We start from the raw sequence: 13,226 nt of genomic DNA on the forward strand, positions 1-13,226 counted from the left end.
CTCCAGCCTGAGTGACAGAGTGAGACTCCGTCAAAAAATAAAATAAAATCCTTCCTTCCTTCCTCCTTCCCTTCCTCCTTCCCTTCCTCCTTCCCTTCCCCCTCCTCTTCCCCTTTCCCTTCCCCCTTCCCTTCCATTCCCTTCCTTTCCTTTCATTCCCTCCCTCCCTCCCTTCTTCCCTCCTTCCTTCCTATTTCTGAGCACTTCTTTCCCAGGCACAAGGTAAACGAGCTTTCAAATATAGCACACTGAATACCCATGATAATTCTATAAAATGGATCCTATTCTTCCCATTTTAAAGATGAAGACCCCAAGGCTCAGAGCAGTGAGGTGCAGATTTACTGTGATGCTAAGGAAGAAAGTTTCAGGGCCCTGCCAGCATGGACCCCTTTCAAGGCCCTAGCAATATATTCTTAGAATCATGTAATTTTTAAATGAAATTTGCAGTAGTAAGATATTTTAACTGCAATTGATGAAGAGCACTGTATCTTTCAACTCTGATGTCTCCTCCTGATACATTTCCCCTCATGTTCATATTGAATGGTGTTACAGTAGCTATAGGTGTTTTGGGATCCAGCATAAGGGAAAGTTAATTTGGGGATAAATTTAGTTTGGGTGTAGTGGGATTTATGTCTATTGTTCACAGTCACGTTAATGCAAAGTCAAGTGATTGTTAGCTGTCCCCATGGCTTCCAGTGCTAAGCTTTCCACAACTCAATGGCTTTGAGACTCAAAGGTGCAATACCTGGCACCTGAGACATAAAAATAGGGGAGAAAAAATAGGATTGAAATATACAGAGCGGTCCGGGTGCGGTGGCTCACACCTGTCATCCCAGCATTTTGTGACACCGAGGCAGGCGGATCCTCTGAGGTCGGGAGTTCAAGACCAGCCTGACCAACATGGAGAAACCCTGTCTCTACTAAAAATACAACATTAGTTGGGTGTGGTGGCACATGCCTGTAATCCTAGCTACTCGAGAGGCTGAAGCAGGAGAATTGCTTGAACCTGGGAGGCGGAGGTTGTGGTGAGCTGAGATCGCGCCATTGCACTCCAGCCTGGGCAACAAGAGTGAAACTCCATTTCAAAAAAAAAAAAAAAAAAAAAAAAAAGAAGGAAAAGAAAAGAAAAAAGAACTATACAGAGCCAGAAGCTAGAGCATAGAACTTTCTTCCAGTCTTTGGACATGTGGAATTGAAGGAAAATTTAGTTTTCACTGATGCCTATTCGAAAAAGAAAGTTTTCTCCTATCAGAAATGTATTTGATAATATAATGAATACAGTTATAAATATACCAGACATTTTCCCCCTTTTTGGTGGGAATTACACAAAATATATTTTATCAAAATTCCTGTATTGTAGGACCCAAACCTATGGCAGTAAAACAAAAAAAAGTGGATGTCTGTGTCTGAAGCCATGTTTTATGCAATGTAACTATCAATAATAAAAAATAAATATTGTCAGTCATGCTAGAAGAAAAGCTAAATTTTCTTTGCAACCTCCCTTTAGAAAAATTACAAAATCACTATCATATGAAGAGGTGATCAAAGTGTATTCAGCCAAAATATATTCAGGGAAAAAAGTATTATGGAGGTTTCACAGGCAAATAATAAAAATATTTTGTTATTTTTCTGGATTTTATAAAGTTTGTGATACATGTCAGGTTTTAAAAACGTATATTGAATGTGATTTATTTTCTTATTCTAAATAAATATTCACCATGGTACCTAATTTTGTATTTGTAATTTTATATTCTTTTTCTTAAAGAGGTCCCCCAGTTGCTTAAACTTCAAGCCCTACAAAATCTCAACCCATCCCTGGAGGTGAAATAACTTTCCCAGCCAGGAAGTGGCAGACCCAGGACTAGAGAACTTGGTCCCTGACTTTGGGATCCCCTGAACTTCACACATTTGTGCCCAGTCATCCATAGGGCAGCCTGGGCTACAAGGGTCAGGGTGCTAGTGGAGAAGGTCAAAGGATGATGAATTTGTAAACTGGATACCATCACTGCAGCCAGCACATGTGGCTTCTACCTCACCTGAGCAGACAGCAAGAGGTTTTCTGAAGACCTGAGTATGCAACTGACAAATCCCGACTCTGTTAAAACCAAGTGCCCAGATTAAAGATAAATAGCCCCAAATCCCCAAACAATATAATTGAATCTGGTTTGATTCTTCTGGGTGTCACATTCCCTAAACTTGCACTGTCCAAAATGGTGGTCCTGGCCACATGCGGCTATTTAAATTAATAAAAATGAAATGAAATAAAAAATCCAGTCCTTCAGTTGCAGTAACCACGTTTTAAATACTTAATAGCCACATGTGGCCAGTGGTTTCTGAGTCAGACAGTGGAGATATAGAATGCTCCCATCACACCCCCACCCCAGGCTCTACTGTTAAGCCCAGCTGAACTTTTTTTTTTTTTTTTTTTTGAGACTGAGTCTCTGTCGCCCAGGCTGGAGTGCAGTGGCGTGATCTCAGCTCACTGCAAGCTCCGCCTCCTGGGTTCACGCCATTCTCCTGCCTCAGCCTCTCAAGTAGCTGGGACTACAGGCACCCACCACCACGCCCGGCTAATTTTTTTTTTTTTTTTTTTTTTTGTATTTTTAGTAGAGATGGGGTTTCAACATGTTAGCCAGGATGGTCTCAATCTCCTGACTTCGTAATCTGCCCACCTTGGCCTCCCAAAGTGCTCGGATTACAGGCATGAGCCACCACGCCCGGCCTAGCCCAGCTGATTTTAAACAGTCTTTACTAAGACATATCTAAGCCCTTCTTCTCAAGAAGAGTGTTTGCAGGTGAGTGTGGCCGATATGTGAGGAGAGAGGAGAAGGAGGAGAAAGGAAGGCCTATCCAGAGAGAAGAGAGGGACAGCCCAGCTGAGAAGGGGCCAAAGAGGGGGAAAAAGGAAATAGAACCTAAAGTGACTGAGGTGTTAGGCCTTGTAGAGAATAAGGGCATCATCAGATGTGAGCCAAGGAAATGATTCAGATCACACCTGACAGAATAAGGAGGATAAATTAGCTCCAGAATCAGTTATCACATACCTCATGTACCCCCCAACATACACACCATATACCTCACACCCCCCACACACATACCACACACACACATGCCCCCCACACCACATACCTCACACATGCGCACCCCCACATACCTCATACACATACCAAACACACACACACCACATACCTCACACATATACCACACACACATGCCCCCATACCACATACCTCACACACACACCACATACCTCACACACATACCCCACACACGTACACCATATACCTCACACACCACATGCCACATACACACACAAAGACCACACATGCCACACACACACACAAAGACCACACATGCCACACACACACCACATACCACATACACACACCACATACCTCACACGCTACACACACACACACACACCACACAACACATACACCACACACACCACACATACGCCACATACCTCACACACCAAACACACACAAGCACCACACACACACCCCCCACATACCTCACACATCACACACACCTCCATATACCTCACAAACACACATATCTCACACACACACACACCACATACACCACACACCCCACACCTCACACAGTCCCACCCCACATCCCCTGCTACACACAAACTCACACACTTTAAAGTGTGCTTTGCATTCCAAGTCTTTGCTGGGAAACCTTAGTTGCAGCTTTACGTGGCTGGAATATCAAAAGGCAGGAGTTGTGGAGTCACTGACAATAACATCATCCACCTTCTCAATGTCCCCGACACTGCCACCTCATTACCCAAAAGCCACTGCCATTCCAGACCTACGCAGAGTCTGAAGGGCAGCACCCCCTTCTCCTTGGGACTGGAGGGACACCTTGCCTCAACTCTCCTGCAGGGCCTGAGGTTAAACTCTCCTGTATTCCACCATCAAAGGACAGCATGGGGGACTCTAGCCCTTTTAATGGGCTGCCAAGAGCAAAAATTCACGCATTCTAGAGTATGAAAGCCCGGCAGGGTGGGCCTTCATTTCCCATATGTTAGTGTGTATCGATGGAGAGGGTAGGGAGCCCTGTGGGGAATGAGGGCACCCATTGTCCCCTGCAGAGCAGTTGTGGATGGAGCTCCTGTAGGAATAACGGACTCTGATTACCACGGTGACACTCCCAAGGTGATGGCTCTGGATAGGGTTTGCAGTCTCCTTTATACTCATCACTCCCATCTAATCCTCACAAGAACCCTGCTCCCCACTTAATGAACAAAGAAGCAGGCCTAGAAAGGCAAGTGGCTTGCCCGGAATTAACAATAATAGTTTAACCATAATAACATTGCCCCATCTGCTCACCATCCAATGAACAACTCAAGTGACAGCACAGTGGTTAAGAGAACAGATTCTGAAACAGATGTACCTGGTTCAAATCCTGGCTCGGCCAATGACTAGCTTTGTGCCACTGGGCATGTGATTCAATTACCCTGTGCCTCAGTTTCCTTGTCTGTAAAATGGGGATGATGATAGTCCCTACCTCATGGGTTGCTGTGTGGTTTAAATAAATTTTCACATGTAAATTACTTAGAACCAAGCCTGGAATGCTCAGTCAGCACTCCTTAAGTGCTGGCTGCTTTGGTGCAGGCTCTGAGCACAGAGACAACCAAACATAGCACCTGCCTCCAAGGTACTTACAGCCTAAAGGGAGAAACAGAAAAGTGAACAAGAGCTAGGGTAGAAAAGATGCTCGGGGCACAAATGAGGGACCTGGAATCCAGGAAGGGCCTGATTCCTGGGCCAAGTGACAACTGGGTTGAGTTCTGAAGAGCCACAGTACAGGCACTGTGACAGCCCTTATTTATGTTTTCCAGCTTTTATTGTAGATTCATGTGCAGGTTTGTTACCTGGGATTATTGTGTGATGCTGAGGTTTGGGAGATGAATGATCCATGGCCCTTTTTATATAGTTTGTCATTTAATCCTTGGACCATTTTACAAATGAGGAGCCTGAGGCTCAGAGAAGTTAAGCAGCTTCCCCCGGAAAACCAACTTGGTAAGTGGTGGAGCTGGGATTCAAGCCCACATTTGTCTGATTCCAGAATCTTACTCCAAGTCTGGGCAAGGCGTGGGCTGGCCAGGCAGCTGCCTGAAGGGCAATTGTCTATAACCCTGGGGTCAGGGGGATGAGAAATGTGAGGCCTGTTAACCCAGGTCTCTGGGCAAGCTTCCTTATATAACCTGCACATTGTCAACGCTCCACTCAGGCAGCTCTCCCATTCCTTACTACATAATTATTAGATAATGCATAAGGGAGAGGTTTGAATGACTAGCCTGCCTGGGAGGCTGCCTCTCTACGGTCCTGCTTCCACCACACGGGAGCCCTGAAACGAGCAGGCCAGCTGGAGAGGTGGCCAACACATTCCTCACCCAGAGGCTCCGGGCTCCCCAGATGGCCACTGCCACCTGACCACACAGAGTCACTTTGCCAGAAGGACTGCCCTGCTTTAGGCCTGATCTGATCTTTTTCCAGGAAACTCGTCTGGTGTAAGATTTATGTGTCCAAACTTGCCAGCCTTCCCCTTTCACCCTGGACTAACAGGGACAAGAATTCTAATCAATGTGCAGGAACACAGAAAAAAAACAGGGAAACAGCAGGCAGGCCCAACCCCAAAAGCCCCAAACTTATTTCCCAATTTTGGGTTGCACATGTATTTCTACTCACATAAGACAGTTTGCATCCAACTGGGGGGAATTTTGAGTTTCAATTAAACTTTGCTAAAATACAAAACTCATTTCCCCTTAACTGTGCTTCCTGACAATGAAGTGGTGGTGTCACGGGGCAGAAGGGCTGATGGTGTGGGTTACCACAGCAAGGTCCATGCTGCAAAGACGGGCTGCCCCTCCTGCTCTGGGAGTCAACGCTTCCTGGGTCCACCAGGCCCAGCATTTCCACAGGCTGTCATCGGTGTGTCCCCAGCACAGCACCTAGCTAGATCTCAGCAAATGATTTGAATGTGTGGGGCTCCCTCCAGGTAAGAAAGGAACCCCTGCTCACGGCACTCCCCAGAAGTCCTTGGTAACTCACTTTCTCTTTCTGTTCTGAACATCCATTCGGGCTGGTTTAAAGCACAGCTCGCTCAAGAGGCAGCCCTCCAGAGGAGATCGGGGTTAATTACGTTTACTGACAGCTGTCTTCTTTCTCCTACAGTCACTTCTTCCCATGTCCTGATTTCATTGCTTGTGAAAAGAGATGGCCTTCCAATGGGAAAAGGCAAGGAGTAAAACTCACGAGAGAAAGCGTCCTGGAGATTTTAAGGAGAAAGGCACATCGGTTCTGCCAGCACAAGAGCTGCCTGTTTCCCTATCAGATATCAACACTCATTTAGTGCAAGGGTGAATATCACCTTTCTATTGAAAAGAAATAGAGTACCCTAGGAAAATAGCTTGCATCAAAACAAGAGAAAAGTAGGTTCTGAACCAGAACTAAAATATTTGGACACCGAAGCTGTGACTACTGATGCAAAGCCATTAACCCATAAAAACAAACATTCAAACAAGACACTGCATAGCTCTCTTTAAATGAGTCCAAACACCAGAGCTTTATCTTAAAACAAATAAACAACAACAACAAAAAATTCCTTTCCCCATCCCATCTCCACCCACCCACTAGGAGTAAAACATATTGCTAGCTCTGAGACTTTTCTAAGAACTTGGTCAGAGACACTGAGCGGCTGGTCAATATATTTCTTACAAATGGGGCTTTGAGAGCGGAACTAGCAGCTGGGTGCCAAGAACACAGTGGCTCTGCTCACATCTCACATATGCCCAGACGCTCTGAACCACAGCCTACCACTGCTGCCACAGGTTCAAGTTCTGAAACCCAAAGAGAGCACAGAGAAGGCAGGAAGAGAAGAAAAAAAGACCCAGATGTTGCAAATCAGAATAAGTGCTGAGTGAGGCAGTATCATGACATGGCAACGATAAATGTTGAACGTTGGCTCTCCTCTTGTCAGCTGACCCCTCTGCTCTGGGACCCTTCACACTGTGACTCCAGTTAAATCAACCAGCTGTGCCTCCAAGAAAGGCAGCATGGGTCAGTGTGGCTGCCTGGACTCTGCTGCTGACAGCTGCAGAGAGAAACTCAAACCAGCCACATAGCCTGGCCCACCTTATAGTCTGAACGTGCCCAGCCAAAAAGAAGAAAAGAAAACAGCTCAAAAAACAGCAAAGGCTGGGTACGGTGGCTCATGCCTGTAATCCCAGAACTTTGGGAGGTTGAGGCGAGCAGATTGCTTGAGCTCAGGAGTTCAAGACCAGCCAGGGCAACATGGTGAAACCCTATCTCTAAAAAAAAAAATGCAAAAATTAGCTAGGGGTGGTGGCACACATCTGTAGTCCCAGCTACTCGGGAGGCTGAGGCAGGAGGACAGCTAGTGCCCGCAAGGTTGAGGCTGTAGCGAGCCATGTTCGTGCAACTGCACTCTAGCGTGGGTGACAAAGCAAGATCTCGTCTCAAAAAAAAAAAAAAAAAAAACAGAAAAGCAAAAAACCCACAGCTGAGAAGCCTCTGGCTCAAACCCACATACAGAAGCTTGTCGGCTGCTGTGTGTACACATACCAGCCACCATGATCCTGGCCTTCTCTGACCATTGGTCTGTAAGGAAATAAGGTGATAAGTGGGAACTGGGCTCTGAACCCTGGAACTGAGAAGTCAGGCTGCTGCAAAACTCTCCAGGATATTAATCCCTCTCTCTGCCCAGTGGTTTTCAACTGGGGGCAGTTTAGCCCCCCTAGGGAACACTCATCAATGTCTGAAGACATTTTTGGTTGTCACATCTGGGGGTCAGGGGGTTGCTATCGCTACCTAGTGGGCCCTGGTAGAGGCCAGGTTTGCTACTATACCTCCTACAATGCCCAGGACAGCTCTCACAACAAGGAATCATCTGGCCCAAAATGTCAATGGTGCCAAGGCTGAGAAACCCTGCTCTAGAGCCTAAGAGTGCTGGGCTCAAATTCTAACATCACTGCTGACTAGCCCAGGGGCCTTTGTATAACTTACTTCACCTGTCAGAGCCTCAGGTTTATATATATGTGTGTGTGTATGTGTTTGTGTGTGTGTATATAGATATACATATATATTTATATTCATATATACATATTTTTATATATTATATATTTATATATTAAATATGCATATTTATATATAATACATTATATAACATATAATATATATTATATATGAATATGAAAAAATTATATATTATATATTATATATGAATATGCATATATAATATTTATTTTTTATATATATATATATAAATTGTCTTTCTGAGACGAAGTCTCACTCTGTTGCACAGGCCAGAGTGCAGTGGCATGATCTCAGCTCACTGCAACCTCCACCTACTGGGTTCAAGTGATTCTCCTGCCTCAACCTCCTGAGTAGCTAGGATTACAGACACTCGCCACCACACCAAGTGCAGGGATTACAGGCATGAGCCACCATGCCCAGCCTATTTTATATATTTAACAAAACTTATGTAGCAGTTTCTAAGTACCAGGCACTATTCAAAGCAGTTCATACATATTAACTCATTTAATCTTCCTAATCACCCTATGCTGTAGTGTTAACCTGACCTCCCCACTTTACAGATGAGAAAACTGAGGTGAAGGGAAATTAAGTAAATTGTCCAAGATGACCCAGCTAGTAAGAGGAGGACACAGGATTCACATTCAGCAATCTGGAGCCACAACCTACACTCTTCCATTAGCTCACTCACAGGGCTGCCTTACAGATCAAAGTTTACATTTATTATCTACCTTAGTCTCTCCTATCAAGGTGTGCAGCAAATGTGGCTTCTCAACCTTCATTCCATGTTAACCTTATACTGTTTACATTACCCTTGAACACTGAGACCAAGGATCTCACCACTTGCTTTTTCTATTTTCCTTCCATCACCCAGAATGGCAAACATTCAAACATTTCCACTCCCGAAACATGCAGCAACGCCAGAATGTTTATCCAGAAATTCAAAATGAGCTCTAGTGAGGCTGGCATGAATATACTCTAACACAATGTTTTCAAATATCGTGGCTCAACAACAATGACCAGTGCTAAGGTTGCTGCGAATGACATCTTAGGCCTGAAATTGCTCTCTGCTGTAACCCAGCACTGAAGGTGACTCTGGCCTTTGCATGCTGGCTTTGAAAGGTCCCAAGTCTGTCTACTTGGAAATAAATTAAAATGTTGTCTATATTTAACAGATAACCAGGCCTTACTAAGCAATCTAAAACACATACTCTAGAAGCACGCTGCAAGAGCTCCCTTCCTGGCCACTTTGCAGAAGAGAAACTAACCTTGCGCAGCAAGTCAGGACCCTCCCCCACAACCACCCCCCAGAAAACACAACAGTCTCACAAGTTTTAGTATGGTCGCGTCTGTAAGCAAAAGTAAGGAAGTCATAAGATAAGCCCCACGCTGGAAAACTTGATCCTTTTATGAAAGGATGGACAGGCTCACTGATTCAGGTGAGAAAGAAGCCCAAGTCCTGAGAGGTGCAGCTGCTGAAGACCAGGGTGGCCCCAAGCAGGCTATGTGCAGGCTCCCCTGTCCTCTACCTCTCAGTGAAGGATGTCCAGGAGATCCCACTCCTTTCCCCATGAACCCAGTTCCCTTCCATCTGCCCACTTTGGTCTCCCTGCACATAAACTCATCTCCCCCTACACACTCCACGTGGTCTGGCCCCAGCCTTCATTCCACCCATTTTAGTAGACTGCTTCCACAATGGGCTGTTCAGATCCAGGGGGTCCAATGTTCATATCAGGGCTTCAAATGACCTAACATTACCAGAGGCAAAGGTGCTTAGGTTAACCAAAAAGCAGGACCAGACTGTTGGCAACCCAGTGTGCTAATGCAGGCCACCCAGGCCAATCAGAAGTACTGACCAGAGAAAGGCACATTTCAGACTAAATAAATATTTATCTTTTTTGAAATTACTTAAAGATTGCAATTTGTTTAGAGGTGTAACTGGACCCCCCGCAGGCCCAAGGGAAGGCTGTTCTAGCTAACGGTAAGGAGAGGAGTAGAAGGCAAGGTGGAGGAGGGCCTTCTGAGGCAGGAAGTGAGGCATCAGGACAGGGTGTGGCTGGGAACATCCCCCAGGAACACATCAAGTGACTGATAAACATTTATTTGCTTTATATTAGGAGAATGAGAACACGGCCTATAGAAAACTGGGAGTGCTAAGGGCAAAGAAACGGCTTAAAGACAGAGAGACTATGTTTGAGCAAAGTGAGAAAGGCCATTCATTGGTACCCTCAGTTATTAAAATAATATATAATTCACCGCTAATCACGGCACTGCCCGGATGAATATTAATTGAATATTATATACAACATATTACACACTGAGTGACTCATAGTTACTTCTAATGAATATCAATATATTTTGACACATTTAACAACGTGGAGTGGTGGAGGGGGTACTTCTAGAGCCAGGCTTCCTAGGTGCGATTCCCAGCTCTGCCACTTACTAGCTCTGTGACATGTGGCGAATCCCTGGACCTTTCTATGCAGCAGTTTTCCACTCTGTAAAATGGGAATAAAAACAATGTCTACCACAAAGTAAAACTCTCAATACATAGTAGCTTTTGTTTTTTAAAAAGCTTCAGGATTCAAGTTGATGAGTGAAATGTATGGGCATCAACCAGATTATGAGCATTCCTCTTCTTCAGAAGTTAGTGCTGAATTATCTGGTCCTTCCTTAACCACTGTGAACTTGCGTGGTGTCCAAAGACAGAACCTTTCCTGTCAACACATGTGGAGGCAACTGCATTAGGTGCCCGGCCCACTGCTTTTCTGACTGCCACTTGGCCAGAGCTGAAATTCTACTCAAGTCTGTGAGTGAGGCCCAGCTCCTTTCCAAGTTCCTTGTAATCCCACTCAAAAAGGCATGCTTTTTACTTTTCTTTTCTTTTTTTTTTTTTTTGAGACGGAGTGTCACTCTGTGGCCCAGGCTAGAGTGCAATGGTGCGATCTCGGGTCACCGCAACCTCTGCCTCCCGGGTTCAAGCGATTCTCCTGCCTCAGCCTCCTGAGTAGCTGAGACCACAAGTGCGTGCCACCACACCCGGCTAATTTTTTGTATTTTTAGTAGAGATAGGGTTTCACCATGGTAGCCAGGATAGTCTCAATCTCCTGACCTCGTGATCTGCCTTCCTTGGTCTCCCAAAGTGCTAGGATTACAGTTGTGAGCCACTGCGCCTGGCCAAGGCATGCTTTTTAATGAACTCCAGTTCTCCTGTCTCAAAGAGGTCTATCACATGGTCTTTGGAAAGAAGTGGTCCCTGCTGTGACAGAGGATCCTGACAGCAGTCATGGAGCGCTCGTTAAAGAAAAAAATGATTCAATGGCGCTTGCTAACGAACTATAGGGCAAGCTTTATTTAGGGAAACCACCAAGATTGGTGTAGGGACCACCACAGTGGTGTTTTGCAGTCAGGGAGAGAGATTGGGATCAACTCCAAATACAAGGAAAAGTGGGAATGCATAGCCAACGAGAATGGTGAAGGTCAGTGGATGGAAAATTACTGCAGAAACATCAGAGGTAAGGGGGGATTCTGGCTAAATTGGCCTAACAGGATTCTTGCTGAAGGCAGGCAGGTTGAACAGACATCACCTGGGGCACGGTAGAGGATGATGCTATGGTCTGAATGTTGGTGTCCCCCTAAAATTCTTATGTTGGAACCTAATACCAGTGTGATAGAATGAAGAGGTGGAGCCTATAGGAAGTGATGAGGTCATGAGGGCTGGGATTAGTGTCCTCATAAAAAAGGTTGAAGAAAGCGTCCCTACCCCTCCACCATCTGAGGACACGTAGAAGGCATCTTTTCTGAAGAACAGGCCCTCGTCAACACTGAATCTGCTGGTGCCTTGACCTTGGACTGCCCAGCCGCCAGAATAGTGAGCAGTACATAAATTACCCATTCTAAGGTATTTTGCTATAGCAGCAGGAACAGCGTAAGACAGATGAGGAACCCAATCAGATATCAAGGGTGATCAGATATTGAGGATGGAGGATTCTGTCTAAACTGGATTCGTGCTACAGTTGGACAGAGACAAACACAGAAGCTCAAAAGTTGACCCCTAGTTGAAAAAAATCTCAGAAGAGCCTAACGTGTGGTCATGGAGAGAATCTTTGTCAGGCCCCAGATCAAGGACAGCATGTGGTGGGTGAGATCCACACTCTTAGGGAGAGGAGATGCTTTGAATGACCTAATTCTTTATTGCTGGGAGAAGGAGGACCCAGGGTAGAAGGAAAGACCTGAGAGAGAGGGAGAGAGAGAGAGAGAGAGAGAGAGAGAGAGAGAGAGAGAGAGGTGCTGGGAGAAGGAGGACCCAGGGTGGAGGGAAAGGGCAGACCAGAGCCTCAGAGCCTGCCATCCCCACTGGCATCATTTTGCTCTCACAGGGCCCCTGCACTCTGCACAATAAAGGAGTTGTTTAACCTCCCAGCATCCTGGGGGCAGGAAATATTGGTTTCATCTATTTGTTGTTTGTTTCAGTCTTGGTGCATCTTGGAACCAAAGTTCTCACTGTATGGACACAAAACTAATTTAGGTTCTTTTAATCCAACATAAGAAAAACTTAGTTTCCTCTAGCCACCATCAATCAACACAAAGCCAACAGGGCGGAAGGGAGGGCCCTTGCTTCCTGGCAGTCTCCCTGGAGGGGGAGGGGGCAGGAAGTGATCTAGAATCCAGTCTCAGAAGAACTGCTGACAACACCCTCACCAAAACGCATCATCATCTTGCACTCATCTCTAAGTAGTGCCTCCCACAGCCTAAGAGCAAAGGCTCATAACTTCTATCCACAGGGTTTCTGCCATTTACCATTACCTCCCTGTCCTGGCTCAGGCAAGGACCCTCAGGGCTGAGATGCATCTTCAGGTCAGCCTGCCCACATGTAAACAGATGATACATGCACACGTGCGTGCACACACACCCACCTCTGCATGCTGGAGATACACAGGACGTGGAATAAGTCCTCTCTGAGAATTTACGAAGGCACCTGGCTGCCATCAGCACAGAGTCATCCTCTGTCTGAGTTCTGAAGGTAGCAGTGTCTCTGCAGGTAGGAAGAGAGACAAATGGAGCTTCCTTCCAGCTGAAGCAAGTAGAGGCTTTGTTTTCTCTCTAGAGGGTTGTAAGAATTTATTGTTTTGGAGAAATAACATAAAATCTAAGAGCGCT

The 13,226-nt window shown here is 45.6% G+C and overlaps 1 protein-coding gene across 4 annotated transcripts in view, besides 2 other annotated features; it reads right to left on the bottom strand.

Moving 5' to 3' along the window:
* The window catches only part of HIVEP3 (HIVEP zinc finger 3), a 529,570-nt gene that overhangs the window by 379,264 nt on the left and 137,080 nt on the right, over positions 1-13,226 (bottom strand). The gene's annotated exons all lie outside the window — the stretch shown is intronic.
* Positions 2,486-2,695: a silencer, noted in NCBI's record as "fragment chr1:42353785-42353994 (GRCh37/hg19 assembly coordinates)". NCBI's record gives its function as "represses an EF-1alpha promoter that drives an FKBP-Casp9 reporter gene in an ReSE screen in K562 erythroleukemia cells {active_cell/tissue: K562}" and the evidence as "EXISTENCE:reporter gene assay evidence [ECO:0000049][PMID:32094911]".
* Positions 5,829-6,128: an enhancer, noted in NCBI's record as "active region_889". NCBI's record gives its function as "activates an Ori minimal core promoter by ATAC-STARR-seq in GM12878 lymphoblastoid cells {active_cell/tissue: GM12878}" and the evidence as "EXISTENCE:reporter gene assay evidence [ECO:0000049][PMID:35858748]".

The sequence above is a fragment of the Homo sapiens genome, chromosome 1 (genome assembly GCF_000001405.40).
Source record: "Homo sapiens chromosome 1, GRCh38.p14 Primary Assembly".
Classification (NCBI taxonomy): domain Eukaryota; kingdom Metazoa; phylum Chordata; class Mammalia; order Primates; family Hominidae; genus Homo; species Homo sapiens.